The 15,732-nt window shown below is 43.5% G+C and overlaps 1 protein-coding gene and 1 long non-coding RNA gene across 3 annotated transcripts in view, besides 1 other annotated feature; one reads left to right on the forward strand and one right to left on the reverse strand.

Annotated features, from left to right (window-relative positions):
- LINC01847 (long intergenic non-protein coding RNA 1847) overlaps nucleotides 1-7,046 on the reverse strand; it is a 94,613-nt gene extending 87,567 nt beyond the window's left edge. The window contains exons 1-2 of the long non-coding RNA NR_109891.1: nucleotides 3,520-7,046; nucleotides 2,534-2,697 (exon numbers count right to left, since the gene is read on the reverse strand). This is a non-coding gene — a long non-coding RNA (long intergenic non-protein coding RNA 1847). The remainder of the gene's footprint in view (nucleotides 1-2,533; nucleotides 2,698-3,519) is intronic.
- Nucleotides 748-15,732, forward strand: part of ADRA1B (adrenoceptor alpha 1B) — a 124,120-nt gene continuing 109,135 nt past the window's right edge. For both annotated transcript variants that reach the window (XM_047416776.1, XM_011534435.2), the window contains exon 1: nucleotides 748-868. The gene's annotated coding sequence lies outside the window, so the exon portion shown is untranslated. The remainder of the gene's footprint in view (nucleotides 869-15,732) is intronic.
- Nucleotides 9,444-10,643: an enhancer, noted in NCBI's record as "BRD4-independent group 4 enhancer chr5:159300789-159301988 (GRCh37/hg19 assembly coordinates)". NCBI's record gives its function as "activates an origin of replication core promoter dependent on BRD2, P300/CBP, MED14 and CDK7 cofactors, and independent of BRD4, by STARR-seq in HCT116 cells {active_cell/tissue: HCT116}" and the evidence as "EXISTENCE:reporter gene assay evidence [ECO:0000049][PMID:35650434]".

Below are 15,732 nucleotides of genomic sequence, written 5' to 3' on the forward strand. Positions count from 1 at the left end.
GATCACAGCCCCACACCCTGGCCACTGATGTCAGCCATCTTGCCCTCTGTGACTCCTTGACTCCTTACTTTTCACTCACCTTCAGTTTGCCGTCTCACACCAACCCCTCAAACCTGGAACTTCATACAGGCCACTGACCCAGACCTCGGGTTTCAGACGAACCCTCATTACCCTGATTTGGCCACTTCTGACCAAGACTCTGGAAAGACACATCAACCCTTGCAGCCAGCAACCCAGTACTCTAGCCCTCAACACAGCCCTTGCCTCGCAAGCAATTGTCCTCCTCCCCTACATGGATTTGCTCTGACTTCATAAACAAGTCAATGACAGAAAGTCCATCAGATAAGCTCTAAAATTCCTATAGTTAAAAAATAATATCTAATGCTGTCACTTCACTTAAGTAAGGAGATGAAAGTTTATTAATAAATATGCACAGATGACACCACTCTGAGGTTGAATTATGTCCATTACTCTGCTTAATCTAGCTGCGTGACTTTGGGCAAGTTACCTCACCTCTCTGGTTATCAGCTTCTTTATCTGTCAAATAACGGGTAGAACTAGGGAATCCCAGGCCCCTGCAAACTCTGAAATCCTATTATTCTATGATTAAAAGAAATGACAAGCCTGGTAGCTATTACTCCTATCAATGTTTTTGTCCAATCATTAACCAAACTAATGAGGTTGTTTCTGTAATCCAACTGCAACGTTCACTTTCAGAGAAAAGGGGAGGATTCGGGAAAACTGGACATTCCTGGACATTGCTGGGAGCCAGACACTGAGTTGATCATAGTGTGCTGTCAACAGTGAAAGAAAATCTGAGGGATCCTCACAGAAACGGGGCGCACTTTGGAATGAAGGAGCACTTTTGGTGAGTCGAAAACTATTAGCTGACTGCAGTCAAGATGAAATCCACTTTGGAAATGTTTGGGTGTTTTTTTAAGTTTGGCTCAATCACTTGTTTTTCACTGTTCCTTATGTAATCTTGTGGGATGTGGCGTCAGAAAGTCATAAATCATTCATGGTGCTTTGGGGAAAAAAAAAACAACACTGTGCAAAGCAGATGCAACTTAAAATGAAATGAGAGAAGTTTTTGGGTGAAACCGAAAAGAAAAGCGTAACTCGCATGGTTTGTAGCCAACGCTGATCACTAATTCTCGCAATCTCTATATGGCTTGGTCATTTGTTTCCAGTTTCTTGTGCTTCACTGTAAATGGAGAGTGAGTGAAAGATATAGCCTATCACAACTGCATTGCATTTTTCCAACAGTCTTAGAAAAGATGCTGTAGTAGCGGCATTTTTGGAAATGATTCAAACTGGCAGATTTTTATTTCCTGCTTGAAGAAATCCAGAAAGCCCCATTTTGTTCAAAAAATCCCTTTTACGACATGCTTGTCACTGCTGTTCATAATACCTATGGATCAATTAAACTCTCTTTGTAAAATATATGCTTCCTCAAAACCTACATACAAAAACACAAGTAGCCCCTGGCAGACGTAACCCATAAAGCTAACTCTAAAACATCAACACCTTAATAAAAGTGGTTTAGCTGAATTATTTCTGATGTGGCAGCTAGCTACAATGAGGTTTCTAATAAACAGATAAATTATGTTTTTTAAATACTCTTTCATATTCATTAACTCATTTCAGCTTTACATAAGTAGCAAGGAGAGTTGGGTGTTCATTCCTTAATTCATTCCTAAAACAAACTTTATTGACTGCCAAGCACTATGTAAGAGTTCTAAAGATACGGACAAGATAATGATGCCCAGCCTGGGCAGCATAGTGAAACCTCATATCTACAAATATATATATTTTTCATTAGCCACCCATGGTGGTTTATGCCTGTAGTCCCAGCTAATCAGGAGGCTGTGGCAAGAGAATCACTTTAGCCCGGGAGGTCAACGCTGCAGTGAGCAATGATCATGCCACTGCACTTCAGCCTGGGCAACATAGTGAGAAAAAAAAAAAAAAAAAAGATGCACCGGGCACAGTGGCTCACACCTGTAATGAGGCCAAGGCTAGTGGATCACCTGATGTCAGGAGTTTGAGACGAGCCTGGCCAAAATAGTGAAACCCCGTCTCCACTAAAAATACAAAAATTAGCCAGGCATGATAGCACATGCCTGTAATCCTAGCTACTCTGGAGGCTGAGGCAGGAGAATCACTGGAACCCGGGAGGCGGAGGTTGGGGTGAGCTGAGATCGCGCCACTGCATTACAGCCTGGGCAACAGAGTGAGACTCCATCTCAAAAAAGGAAAAAAAAAAAAAAGATAGTAATGGTACTTGCCCTTGTGCCACTCACAGTGTAGTGGGGGACAAACACATAAAAACCATTATGTGCTTTTATGGGAGAATGTCTCCCAAAAGTTAAGTGTTTTTTCCCACGTCAAACAGCTAGAAACTTCTGGGGCAAGAATTTTCTGCAAAGTCTAAGGTCTCCAAAGTCTAAGTTCAGAACACTCTTAACAGCACTCTACAGCATTTTATAAATGAACAAATTTTGATGAAAAAAATGAGGAAAAGAAAGCTCACAAACTGCGGTTCTGATATTGGAGGGATAAGCCGGGTTAGTTATCTCAGGAACCAGTGAGCAGCCAGCAGAACTGAGAGAGATTTCTCAGCAGAACAAAACAGGGAAGTATTCCCATAGATCTACTTCATAATTTCTCCCCAGCAGCCTTGAAGCGATGTCCAACCTGGCACAGAGTCTGGCATTAGATTGGTGCTCAAGAAACATCTACTTACTCTCTGTTCAACTGAATTTAAATTAGTTATATGACCTCTTTTGGGTACGTTACCAAATGTCAAACAGTTGCCCACTGGTCCCCTCAAAATCCTTGAAATCTCAATGATGTTGCCTTGAACCCTGAATTCTACAGCATGGGAAAGCCTTAAGCCATCCTCAAGACATTTGCATTTTTCTGGTGTTGAGAATCTTTTTGTTGGCTCACTAATTCCATTCTACCCCGTGTCCCAAGGCATAGTGCTTTCTCTATCTTCCATGAGAAATCTATTTGTGTCTGCCCTTTGCTAAGCTTTCAAGAATTCACTGAAGATCATGCAGTTCTGGGGAGTGATTATATCATGTACAATGCAGTACAACTGATTCACCATCTTGCTGGTTCTACCACCCTCTCCCTCGCCCTCTCTCATATTTTCCTCTCCCTTTCTTCCTCTTCACTCAGGTACAGCTATACTTGCTGTTAGTATTTTACAGCTATACTTGCTGTAAGTATTTTACAGCAAGTGGGCTTGTCAAGGGGTTTTTCCACATCAGGGTGGATGTCTCCTCAGAAAGAATTCTCAAACCAACTGCTAAGACAATAAAAGTTTTCCATCTCTTATTCCACCCAAGACTGAAATCAAAGATGGAGACCACTGTTCTTTACTTTCCATTATTTCCTTTGACCACATGATGACAGATGTCAGAGAGTCCCTGTCATAATAGAGCTCCTGAGTGCTCGCCTAACTCAATGGAAGAACTGCTTTCACCTTGATCCAATTGCCAGCTTATCTACCTGGCTTTGATTCTCTGGAACCGCAGGCTTTCTTCACCACAAGTGTGGTCTCACGTGTTCTGGATCTGTGTCTATAAGCAACAGAAAAAAAAACTATTAAACACCCATTGCAAACAAAGTAAAATTCTAGGGACTGAGAGAGAAGAATCATGGCCTCTGTTCTATAAGAATTTGTGAGCCCAGCTCTGGCACCAACTTACCATGTAATTTTAGGAAGATGACTAACTTCCCAGCCTCAGTTTCCTCATATGTAAAATGGTGATATTGTAAACACCTACCACATAGGGTCATTGCAAAGAATAAATAAGGTAAAGACAAAACAAAAAGGCAAAACAAGTAAAGTACTTGGCTTGGTACATGGTTAATAATGATAATAAATTATGTACAAATAAATCAGTGCTGATTGCTCAATGAAATGGGAAAAGATGCATAATATAAGGCAGACTTTGATAAGTTTTATAGGAGAGTTACAATTTCCTATGGGGAAATATGGGAGGGAAGGATTCATTCTAATTGAGAGGATTGAGAAAGGATACTCAGAGTAAACAAGAGTTGAGCTAGGTGTGAAGAATAAATAGGATTGGGACAAAAGGTCTTGGGAAGTTTCCACAAGGTATTGAGAATCAGTGTTGAAAACTTGTATATTTTTGGTAGTGTTTCAGTATTGAAGGATGATGATCTTGGCTCCTACCAGTTATGGTGAGAAACTAGGTTGCTATATTCAGAAACGATTTGGTGGATAGAAGTCTTGAAAGCTTTGTGGCTAAAACTCTACCTGATCCCTATGCAGTCTATGGGTGGCATAGTTTTTGTAAGGCCAGAGGTTACATTACCTGAAAGATCATTTAGACCAATACTCATTAGATGTCTCAGCTGTTGTTGTAGGTACAACATCCTTACTCAAAAGCCAACTCATTATCAGTTCATACACCTCCAATGATAGAAAGTTCATTGCCAACACTATTTTGACCACAGTCAATATACTGAAAAGGACCAGAGGGCAGGAAACCCATCAGGTTCATGGGAGATCATAGGAAGAAGGACATAGTTTCCAGAAATTATCAGTTTTAAAAGGAAACTTAACTTGACTCTAAGCAAACCATTCAACCTCTCTGGACCTCAGAGCATCTCTCATGTTGCTTATAGCTCTAATATCCTGAAGCCTCAAATCAAAAAGGCAGCAGAGATTAAACAACATATTGTAGAGAAAAACCAACTGAAATCGGGCACACATACATATTTTGTAATTTTCAACTACAAAGTAAAGAGATTATTATTACCACTATGAAAGCATTTCATTTCAATTCAACAAGCATCATGTCAGTCCCCAGGGTTACAGAGCTGAATACTCCTACTCTATTCCACCCTGGACAAACCATTCCTGGAAAGCCTTCTATCCAGGTGTGGATGCCTCAGTTTAACAGGTATAGCAGTACACTATGGTTTGGCCAGAATCTGGAGATATAGCTGGAACATAGGCTGTCATCTAAGTGAAAACTCTTATCAGAGCTATATGAGAGGAACTAAAGTTCTTTTAAACTACTGAGAGCAGAACAGGTGTCCACAGGTAAAATTACCACAGAAGTGGATTTCAGTTTTATGTAATGAAGATCATCCTAGTTATTAGAGTTGCTCACTGGAAAAGCTAATGAATCCCATTGCAAGAAGTATTTCAGAACGATCTGGAGAACTAACTCTTAGAATAGTTGTAGAAGACATGTTTGCACTGGCTAGGCAATTAGTCCAGAAGATACACAGTAATATTGATCATGATTCATTCATTTATTCAACATACATTAGTGAACACTTCCTGACTTTGGGGCTGGCATCCCTGGGTTTAAGTCTCCACTGTGCTACTTCCTAGCTGTGATACCTTGAACCAGTTAGTGTCCCTGTATCTCAGTCTCCTCATCTACAAAATGGGAATAATAATCGCTCCTGCTTCAGAGAGTTATTGTGAAGATAAAAGGAGATGATTTATGTAAAGCAGTTTTGAACAGTGTCTGGCACATAATACATAGTCAATTAATATTAGACATTAGTAGCAGTAATATGTGATATGTTACTGCTGTAATATATTGCAGCCAATGGCAGGCACTGGGCTAGACACTGGATTACCATGGTTAAGAAAACAGACATCAATCCTACGTTTCTTGAGTTTAAAGTCAGCCAAGAGGTTGGAGGGTGTAAAAGACAGTAAACAAAAAGTCACAGAAACAAATAGTTTCAAAATGTGACAATGCTATGAAGGGAAAAAAGAGAATTCCATGATAGCATATAACAGAGAGGAAGGAGACTCATCTAGACTCGGAGGTACAGGGAAGGGTTCTCTGAGGAACTGACACTTAGGCTGAGTTGCAGTATAGACGCATCCCTGTACCAGTGATTTAGAGGAGTGGCCTCACGCTTGACTTATTTTAAGTCCACAGAGAAAGCAAGCCATCTATCTGCAAGAGTGTGGCATCACCTGGCAATCTGATTCCCAGTTTGTGCATCAAGACTCACACTGGCAGTGTAAATGTAGACAAGCTCTCTTTGCTTTAGCTATTAGATTCCATTTAATTTTTCTCTGAAATCTATAAACATCAATAAATCCATCCATCCATCCAACCATTCATTCAATGATCCACTGGCCTATGGGAGATTCAAAGATATGTAGCCCCCAATGTCAAAAAATTCTGCAAGGGAAGCTGATGTGTGTATAAACTCCTGTAAGTGAAGATACATGGGAGTGATGGAGGGAAATGCTATGGAATTTTGAAGAAGTTAGAAATTCAGCACCAATCCGGGTGTGAAGGGAGAAGTTGTTGGAAAAAGTGGCATGTTAAAGTATGCTGGGGGATTCTAAGCAAAGTGAACGCAAAGGAATCAAATCTTATTCAGCATTTGTGTTCTAAAATCAATGCATAAAGCCAAAAAAAGTCATAAATAGAGGATAGTCAAAAGTTCCCTTGAAAATCCCTTATGAGAGACTGTGTTGGAAAATGACACTGTCTCTCAAGAAATCCAATACAGTCACTGTGTCCTGTAGTCCCAAAATCAATTGTTGTTGCTTCAGCTGAATTCGTGAGCTTGCTTTAAGGGGCCAAGTTGTATGAAAACCATGAAATCTTCCACATTGGACTCACACATGTTGTGATGAGATGCTCATCCTGTGGGAAGACCATAGAAGAGGTGAGGAGGAGTAGTTGTGGCCATGTTTCCTGCAACCTGCAGGGCAGCACTCACCATTCAGCATGGAAAAGCAGACAGAGCTGTCCCTAGCAGCTTAGCCATCAATTTGCTCTGCTCTCAGCCTCCCTCAGTCTATTCATGTTATTTTTTGCCAACTAAATAGTTAACTGTGCTTGCATTAAATATAAATATAATAATGTGTCCAATGCAACATGGTTAAAAACCCGAGGTCAGCAAACAGCTGGGCTATTCAGGAAACAGCTCAGTGGCCCATTATAACTGGAAGTTGGGGTCTATATTGGTCTCTAAGGCTCCCATAACAAAGCACCACAAACTCGATGACTTAATGCAACAGAAGTTTATTCTCTCATGGTTCCTTTTGGAGAGCAGAAGTCTAAAAATCAAGGGGTCAGCAGGGCCACACTTCCTGTGGAGGCTCTACAAGAGATTCCATCCTTTGCCTCTTCCAGCTTCTAGTGATTCTAATTCCTTGGCTTGCAGCTCCTCCCCTGTGTCCTTATGTCTCAACTCTCCCTCTCTTTTATTTTATAAGGACAACACTCCTTGAGCTTAGGGCCCACCCTAAATCTAGAATCATCTCATCTCAAGATTCTTAACATCTTCAAAAGCCCCATTTCCATTAAAGTCACATTCACAGGTACTGGGGTGGTGGGGTGGGGTTAGGACTTAGACGTATCTTTTGGAGATCTGCTATTCAACCCAATACAAAGTCTAAGAAAGAGAATTTTAAAAGTAGATTGAAGCCCTGTTTTGACAGTCTTTGAATGCCAATTTTGAATGACTTTGAGGTTATAGTTCTCTTTAGAGTTGTGATGGTGGCAACTTTTACTTACATGCTATTTAAACATCTCTCTGCAGGGTCTCCTCCTCTGCCTTACTGTTCCTCTCTGACACCCTGGAGCCCTTCCCTACTACTTTATGTACTCATGAGGGATCCTGCAGGACAATAAGCTTTGATAAACTTGATAAACTCCAACATTGCTTTTTCATGTCCTAATCAAAATGCCCAACTTGTATCATATCCTCTACATGAGTGACGATTAATCAACTAAAATAATCTTATAAGATTAAAATACTCTCATGATTAATCAAATAAAATAACCTTATTTTAAAATAATAAAATAATTAAGGCACTGGCTCGTCAACATTGTTAGAAATTGCACATGTGGCCTTTTGAGTGTGTCTATGTTAATGAGTGCTCTTGCTTGCAGAGATGCAGCTGCTGCTGGGGACACCACCTGAAGCAGGGAGGGAGAAATGCCCTAACTAGCTGCTTCTTCTTGTCCCCAAAATATCATTGGCCAAACTCAGCTAGAAGCCAGCTGATGCAGGAGCCTGGGAGCTACAGCTTGCAGAGATAAGATCCCTGTGATACAGAACAGAGGTGGGAAGGGAAAGACACTATGGGAAGACAAGTGGGCCCTGGACCAGCAAACTATTATTATCCCCATTTTACAGAAAGGGACATGGAGCTCAGAGAAGGTGATGTGATTGCCTAGAGTCATGCAACTGGTGAGTATGAGTGTGGACTTTGAATCCAGGTCTGTCTGAATCATAAGCCTGAGGTCTTGCCAGTCTTGCCTGGCTCTCACTACCATCATAGAAATTTCACTTGCTTTGTCTGACTGCTTGGTCAAGAGATAGACCAAGGTCCTGAGAGGCAGTTTCATGGCTCTGAAATCTGCAATAAAACCTTCCTTGGATTCAAGATCTGGGCTTTTATAAAAAAAATTCTGGGATACATGTGCAAAACGTTCAGGTTTGTTACATAGGTATACATGTGCCGTGGTGGTTTGCTGCACCTATCAACCCATCATCTAGGTTTTAAGCCCCACATGCATTAGATATTTGTCCTAATGCTCTCCCTCCCCTTGCCCCCCACCCCCAAACAGGCCCCAGTGTGTGATGTTCCCCTCCCTATGTCCATGTGTTCTCATTGTTCAACTCCCACCTATGAGTGAGAATATGCGGTGTTTGGTTTTCTGTTCCTGTGTTAGTTTGTGGAGAATGATGGTTTCTAGCTTCATCCATGTCCCTGCAAAGGACATGAATTCATTCTTTTTTATGGCTGCATAGTATTCCATAGTGTATATGTGCCACATTTTCTTTATCCAGTCTATCATTGATAGGCATTTAGGTTTGTTCCAAGTCCTTGGTATTGTAAATAGTGCTGCAATAAACATAAGTATGCATGTGTCTTTACAGCAGAATGATTTATAATCCTTTGGGTTTATACCCAAGATCTGGGCTTTTTGAAGGGCACAGAGTTGCAGGGCTCCAGCCTCCTTCAGGAAAGAACCCACTGAGTCCGCTGCTGCAAGTGCCATCAGCAGACACTCCAGCTGTCAGCATGAGCTTGGCAGCCTCAGCTGCAGAGAGCCACCTTGCCCAGGAGAGTACCCTTCCCTGACAGCACATACCCAATCACTGATAAAGGCTCAGTCTTTTCAGCTCACTGAGGACAACTCTAATAAACATCACAGTTCAACTTCTGCCTCTGTTCAATCCTGTTTCCTCTCCCTTCCCCAAGTGCCGATCCCTAACAACAAACCCTGACTATGACAGCCTATGACAGGACTTTTCGTTGTTATTGTGCTCATCTCAGAGCCCCCTCAGTCTACACATATACTGGATGATGGTGGCAACAGGAGTGAAAGCCATGGCAATGACCATCGTGGAGGTGGTTTCACCTCCTTCCATCTCTAGACAGTGTGCAGGCCTGTCCCCAGTGGAATTTTTCTGGTTAATTTAGACAGAAAAACAAATGGAGATACCATGAAATGATGAGGCACTCCATCATTTTTTTTGATGATGATCCATTGCTTCATTCCCCCAGAATGAATCACCAAAATAGTATTTGATTGGAAGGTCAGTGGAAGTACAACCATCAGCTTTTTAACCCCACCTCTTTGTTTTTTTATGCAGAGGGCAGAAAATGTCTTCTGGACGACTTACTGTCTTGATAGTGTCTTCATACTGGAACAGAAACACAACCTAACATTCTGTAGCCCTTCTGGGCTATTGGGGTCTTCTCTCTAGAGGTAACTAGACTGGTTTCTGCCTTTCTGTAAAATATTCCCTCTGAAGATTCCCAGGATGCTTGGAGAAGTGCTCAGACCCACTGATTTCTAATACCAGCCCCTAGAGCCACAATAAAGGCCTGAAGCTTGGTGGGGCTTCCAAAAGCCATCAAGTCCACCTCTCTGCCCTTGGGAAGAACCTCCCACCACCACCAACATACACATATTTTCTTTCTTCAAAATGAAATAAATTCCTTATTTTCTTGGCTATCCCAGCTCACCACTATCCAATCAGATGACACAAGCTACTGAAGCTCTGTAGAGCTGTGGGTGGCCTCCTTCACAATTTTCTTCCCTGCCAACTAATTCCTGACCTTAACCTTCTTAGGTGTCAGTGCAGCACCTATTATTCATGACTTCATTGACATTTCTTCCAAATCCCTGAAGCTGGTGGTGACTCATTCCCTCTTGTCATCAAGGGGCATCATTGGGCTGTATACAGTACATGGCATGAAGTTCATTTTAGCTGTTCTCTGAAGTCTTGCAACAAAGGAGCTCTGAAAATTTTTAATTTGATGACCTGGAGGCAAACATGAAGATTTCCAATTTAACAGCCTGAAGAATTAAATTAAACAACCTGTGTGGGTCATGCAGGGACAAGGAGCCTGGACTTGCCCCCTTGGGGGTCAGAGTCCTCAGGTCCATGGAAAGTTGGTCTAACAAAGGTCTAAAATGTCCACAGCAGTCCAGGCCTTCCCTAGAGGGCCCCGTTTGAATTTATTCATGTACCCAAATGCAGTTTGCACGAAAAGGGTATGTCCTTGTATTTTCCATGGGATATTTTCTTTAGCTGAAAAGAACTGAACATTTATTGGGCTAAATGAGAACTGAGAATTCGTGCTCCTAGACAAAACTGGTGTCTTCACAGCACTAATTAAGTCAAACAGGATGGCAATTTCCTGGGAAATTGCATCAAAACTCCTAGCTTCATGGTCGTTTGGTGGTATAGGTCCCCTCCACCCCGATTCTTAGAGCCTGAGCCACACTGGCATTTAGATAAGAGAAGGGGGCTTTGGTAACATAATTCATGGTGGAGAAAACAACAGTGGCCTTTTCAGTAAAATCATGCACAGGACTTATACTAAGAGAAGGTTTATCCTGCAGGATAAAAGCTTGTTGGCTTGCAGATGTCCTACCTTAATGTCAGGACACAGTTATATCCTTTTATTCTCTTTTCTCCCCTCCTCTATTCCCCACTCCCACAAAACTCAAGCCCACAACCGCAGCTCCTACCCAAGAGCAAAATCTGAAATAAGTCACCGACAGCCTTAAGGACCAAGCTCAAGGAAAAATGAAACTCTGGAGTTAAACCCAAGTCACAAATATATGACCCTGAGACCATACCTAGTGCATGGATACATCAGTTTGGTTCATATACAGTATCTTACTTTAAAATTTCAACATGCATTTCTAAATTGAGAGAGTCCACTAAAACTCCAGTTTTCCAGTTTCTCCTGAAAAATAAAAATATCCAGCCACAGCTGGATAGGATTCCTGCACAGCCAGAACCAGCTGGAGCTCAATAACCAGCATCAGCCCCTTCACAAGGGGCACACCCTCTCTAATTCGCCTTCCTTGTGCCACACAAGTTCCAGTTTTGCATAGTTCTGCTCTGGTCCCTGCAGGCATCCAGGTTTGAGTCCCCTGAATTAAAGCAGGGAAAGGAGAAGAAAAAGGGAGGGTCAACTGAGAAGAGGTTTCCCTGATATATTTGTTCAGATGCTTTGGTATAGATGGAACAGCATACGTGACTAAAAGTTGCTTAAACAACAAGGGCCGGGCATGGTGGCTCACGCCCGTAATCCCAACACTTTGGGAGGCTGAGGTGGGCGGATCACTTGAGGTCAGGAGTTCGTGACCAGCCTGGCCAACATGGTAAAACCCCATCTCTACTAAAAATACAAAAATTAAGCAGAAATGGTGGTGCATACCTGTAATCCCAGCTACTCACGAGGCTGAGGCAGGAGAATCGCTTGAACTCAGGAGACAGAGGTTACAGTGAACTGAGATCACGCCACTGCACCCCAGCTGGGGGACAGAGCAAGACTCTGTCTCAAAAACAAAACAAAACAAAACAATAAGGACTTTTATTACTTCATTTTAAAAAAGTCTACAAGTTGGCATGGTTAGATTGTGGCTCAACAATGTCAAGGCTCTGCATCGGCTTCTGTGCCATGTTTTTGGCTTTCTCCTCACAGTGGCAGGATGGCTGCCAAGCACCACATCCTCATGACATGCAAAAGAAGAAAGAGAGAGAATGGGATTTCTCCTCCTATGTCTCTTTCTTATCCAGGAGCAAAATATTTTCAGAAGATTCCAGAAGACTTTGACTCAGATCCCATTTGCCAGAACTAAACCACATGACCATCCCTAACCCAATCACTGGTGAATGGGAATGAAATTGTCATTTCTGAGCCAGACCAAACATGGCTCATTCCCTAGATTCAGCAGAGGGGGGTCCATCTTAGCATACTGCTGCAGATACAGTTCTGTGAAAAAGAAGATGGGGAGAATGGTAAGTATGGGCGACACATACCATTTGTGAAAGGTGGCATCCTGAGATTCTGTTAGAGTGGCTCTGTGTTGGAATGCTGGGGAAGAACTGAACATGTGGCTGAGTGGAATCCGCCTCTGTGGGGTCTGTTGGTGCTATAAGTAAAAAGTAAAGGACGATTTGTCCCTTCTTCTGGACTCTATGTATGACCAGCTGACAGTAAAGTCATTTTGTTATGAACTCTACCACTCCTCCCTTTCACCGTTAGGGGCCTGGCGCTTGTGTTTCAGGTACTTGCCTGGCCATCAGAGAGCAGGTTCCCATCCCTACCAAGGGCCCAGAATTTGTTCTCCAGATTTTCTTCCCCTAAGGGGTGCACAAAAAGGAGTTGCCTTTGAGAGCAGTCGTGGGACTCAGGCCTGCAGTCAGAAGGGCAGCCCCTCTGGTTGAAGCTCTTTACTAAAAGGACTGATGATGTGTTTTCTGGAATGGGAGCCTCAGTTCATAAATCAAGGCTTGTTGCCTGCCCCTTTTCGCCTTCTCAGAGCCGTGCGCTCTGAAAAACACTTAGCAAATAAAGTTTCAGCTCCCGGTCCCCTGTGTCTCCCCTCCACCCTTTGTAAACCACTCTGCTAAGCTAGAACTGAGCAAAGCTGATGACCTCAGAAGACCCGGGGACAATAGGAGAACTCTGTCCAAGCCTCTTCCCTCCCACTGCACCAGATGGGAAGGTCATGCCGGGAGCCAGCTCTGGAGAAGTCCTTCATGCCCTCTGGTTGCCGTGCACCCAATCTTTGGGTGCAACAGCACATCAGTTGGCAAATGTCAAAAACCGAGAAAATAATAATTTCAGTACTCCATGTTGGCGTCATGCTCTCCAGCCTCCTTCTAAACACTTTCATATCTCATATCTCATTGGGTCCTTCTGATGACTCTGAGCAGCCACTAGGGCAGTGGTCACAAAAATCATTAAATCACAGTCATCATAGCCACTATTTTATGGACTCCCTACTGTGCACCAGGCATTGTGCTCAGCACTTTGCACCCATTATGTCTCTCAATGCTCTCAGCCCCATAAGGTAGGTACTGTCCCTAACCCCACTTTATAAGTAAGGAATCCAAAGCTCAGAAAGAAGGTGCAGCGTGCCCAGGGCTGCTCAGTTCACAAACGACAGAGGCAGGCTTTAAGCTCAGATCTCTTTAGTTGAAAAGCCTGGGCTTTTAATAACTACTACTTTATTCTCTCAGTCTAGGAAGTGATGTTTTGATGGCAGCTGGAGTGAATGCTCTTGAAATCCACTTCCTGATTCTTCCTTCTCTCCCGAGCCTTACTTCCTGTTTTCTGACCTCTTCTGGGAACAACCTGAGTTTCAAGTGCCAGATTAGGTGCTCTGAAACCTAGAAAAACAGGTTCAGGTCTCTTCAGCTTGGTCTTGTCAGGACTCCAGGGCTGAACGAGGCCCAAGAATCAGAGGACCAAATGCCGAGGCAGTCTCAGGCAGCTCCGACAGTCCGGGACGCCAGGCCCAGCAGTCCTACAGTTGCCCTCTTGAATCAGTCGGGTCCAGAGATGAGCAGCAGCTGTTACCTAGGCTATGTCAGGGCCAGGAGCCAAGGTAAGGGTCAAGGACTAACAGGAAAGCACATGAGGGCTGAGCACAGGGTTTGCACTGGGCAGCTGGGATCCAGTTCAAGGGGCCTCCTGCCCCAGATGGGAACAAAGCTCCAGGAACACACTTGAGCCAACTGAGAAGAGAACTCCCACTCAGAGTAGGGCTCCAGTCCAAGGAGGGAGGCTGGGAAATAAGGAGCCAATAAACCAGACCATCTCAGGCAGTTCTGGATTCCCTGTTTTCCGCGTGCAATCTGTCTGATTAATTCAGCTAATGTGTTATTGGCTGATAACAATACCTCATTTCCCCCAGGTAGCACATATAATAAGGTGAAGTAACCTATTTCACCATCTTTAATCCTTACCATGATTCCCAAAACATAGCAGGTGTTAGGGAGTCTCCATTTTACAAGTAAGCAAACTGAGGCTTGGAGAGATTAGGTGACCTGTGCAAGGTCTTCTACAGGAAGTGACAGGATTGGAGTCCTAGTCTGCTTAGCTCCCTAAAAAATGTTCTTTCTTTTCTATCATGTATCATGTATCACACTCAAGAACCAGAACTGTGGGGTCTTCACACACTGCAATATTGAATAGATCATGCATGTATCCATTTATCAACTAACATCTTCTCTGTGCTTGGTGCCAGGAGTGCCAGAGTGGATAAGACAGACAGCCTGTACCCAAGGAACTTACTGCTCATGCCCCCTAGACTTTTCTGATGTCGCTCAAAACCCAGCAAAGAGCCAGCTGCCTCCTTACATCCTCACCCCGGCCCTGGGTGAGGCAGGTCGGGTCTGCTACTGCATATTCCTCATGCCACTTTCTCTGCTTGTTACAGAAACCACACTGTTGACAGAGGCAGAGCTGTGGGACCAACGGATTAGACTGTATCATTTTGAATCTAAGCTGCATCCTCTGCAATCAGTGGCCTCTGCTGTCCCAGAGGTTTCTGTTTGTTTGGGGTTGGGAGGATTTGCTCGGATTAGCGTAGAGATTGTCTGTTCACCGGGGAAAGGGGCCCAGTGACTGACGATGGACCAGCTGGAATGCAGTCAGCTTGGCTCCTCCCATGAACCACAGCTCTGGAGTGACACAGCGCTTCTGCTGGCTCCAGCAGCAACAGGCGCCTGCCTGTAAGCACGACGGTGGGAATGACATCTTTTGGTTATCACTCCATCACTGAAACTCTTTAGGAATAATTCCAGCCCCCTCTCCAGCAGCCAGGACTATAAATAAAGATTCCCTGGGGATGCTGAATCCTGCCCTTCATCCTGGCTGCCTCTGTGACTCATTCCACAAGCCAATTCTTCTTCTATCTTCTTAATTATGGGGAGGGGGGAGTGAAAGTCTGTGCATATCTACCTGCATGCTGTGTGCATTGTCTTAGTTGCAGTCCACACGCATATGCATGCGTGTGTGTGGGTACATGTGTGTTTACCTGTGACTCGGTGTTTAAGCTTAAAATGTAGACAAGTGGCTGGGTGTAGTGGCTCACGCATATAATCCCAGCACTTTGGGAGGCCGAGGCGGGCGGATCACTTGAGCTCAGAAGGTCAAGACCAACCTGGCCAACATGGTGAGACCCTGTCTCTACTAAAAATACAAAAATTAGCTGGGCGTGGTGGCGGGCGCCTGTAATCCCACCTACTCATGAGGCTGAGGCAGAAGAATCGCATGAACCTGGGAGGAGGAGGTTGCAGTGAACTGAGATCGCACCACTGCACTCCGGCTTGAGATACAGAGCGAGACCCTGTCTCAAAAATAAATAAATAAAATTAAAATTAAAAACTTTAAAAAGTAAAGGGTAGAGAAGAGATGCATTCCTCATACAT

Source organism: Homo sapiens, chromosome 5, assembly GCF_000001405.40.
Source record: "Homo sapiens chromosome 5, GRCh38.p14 Primary Assembly".
Lineage (NCBI taxonomy): Eukaryota > Metazoa > Chordata > Mammalia > Primates > Hominidae > Homo > Homo sapiens.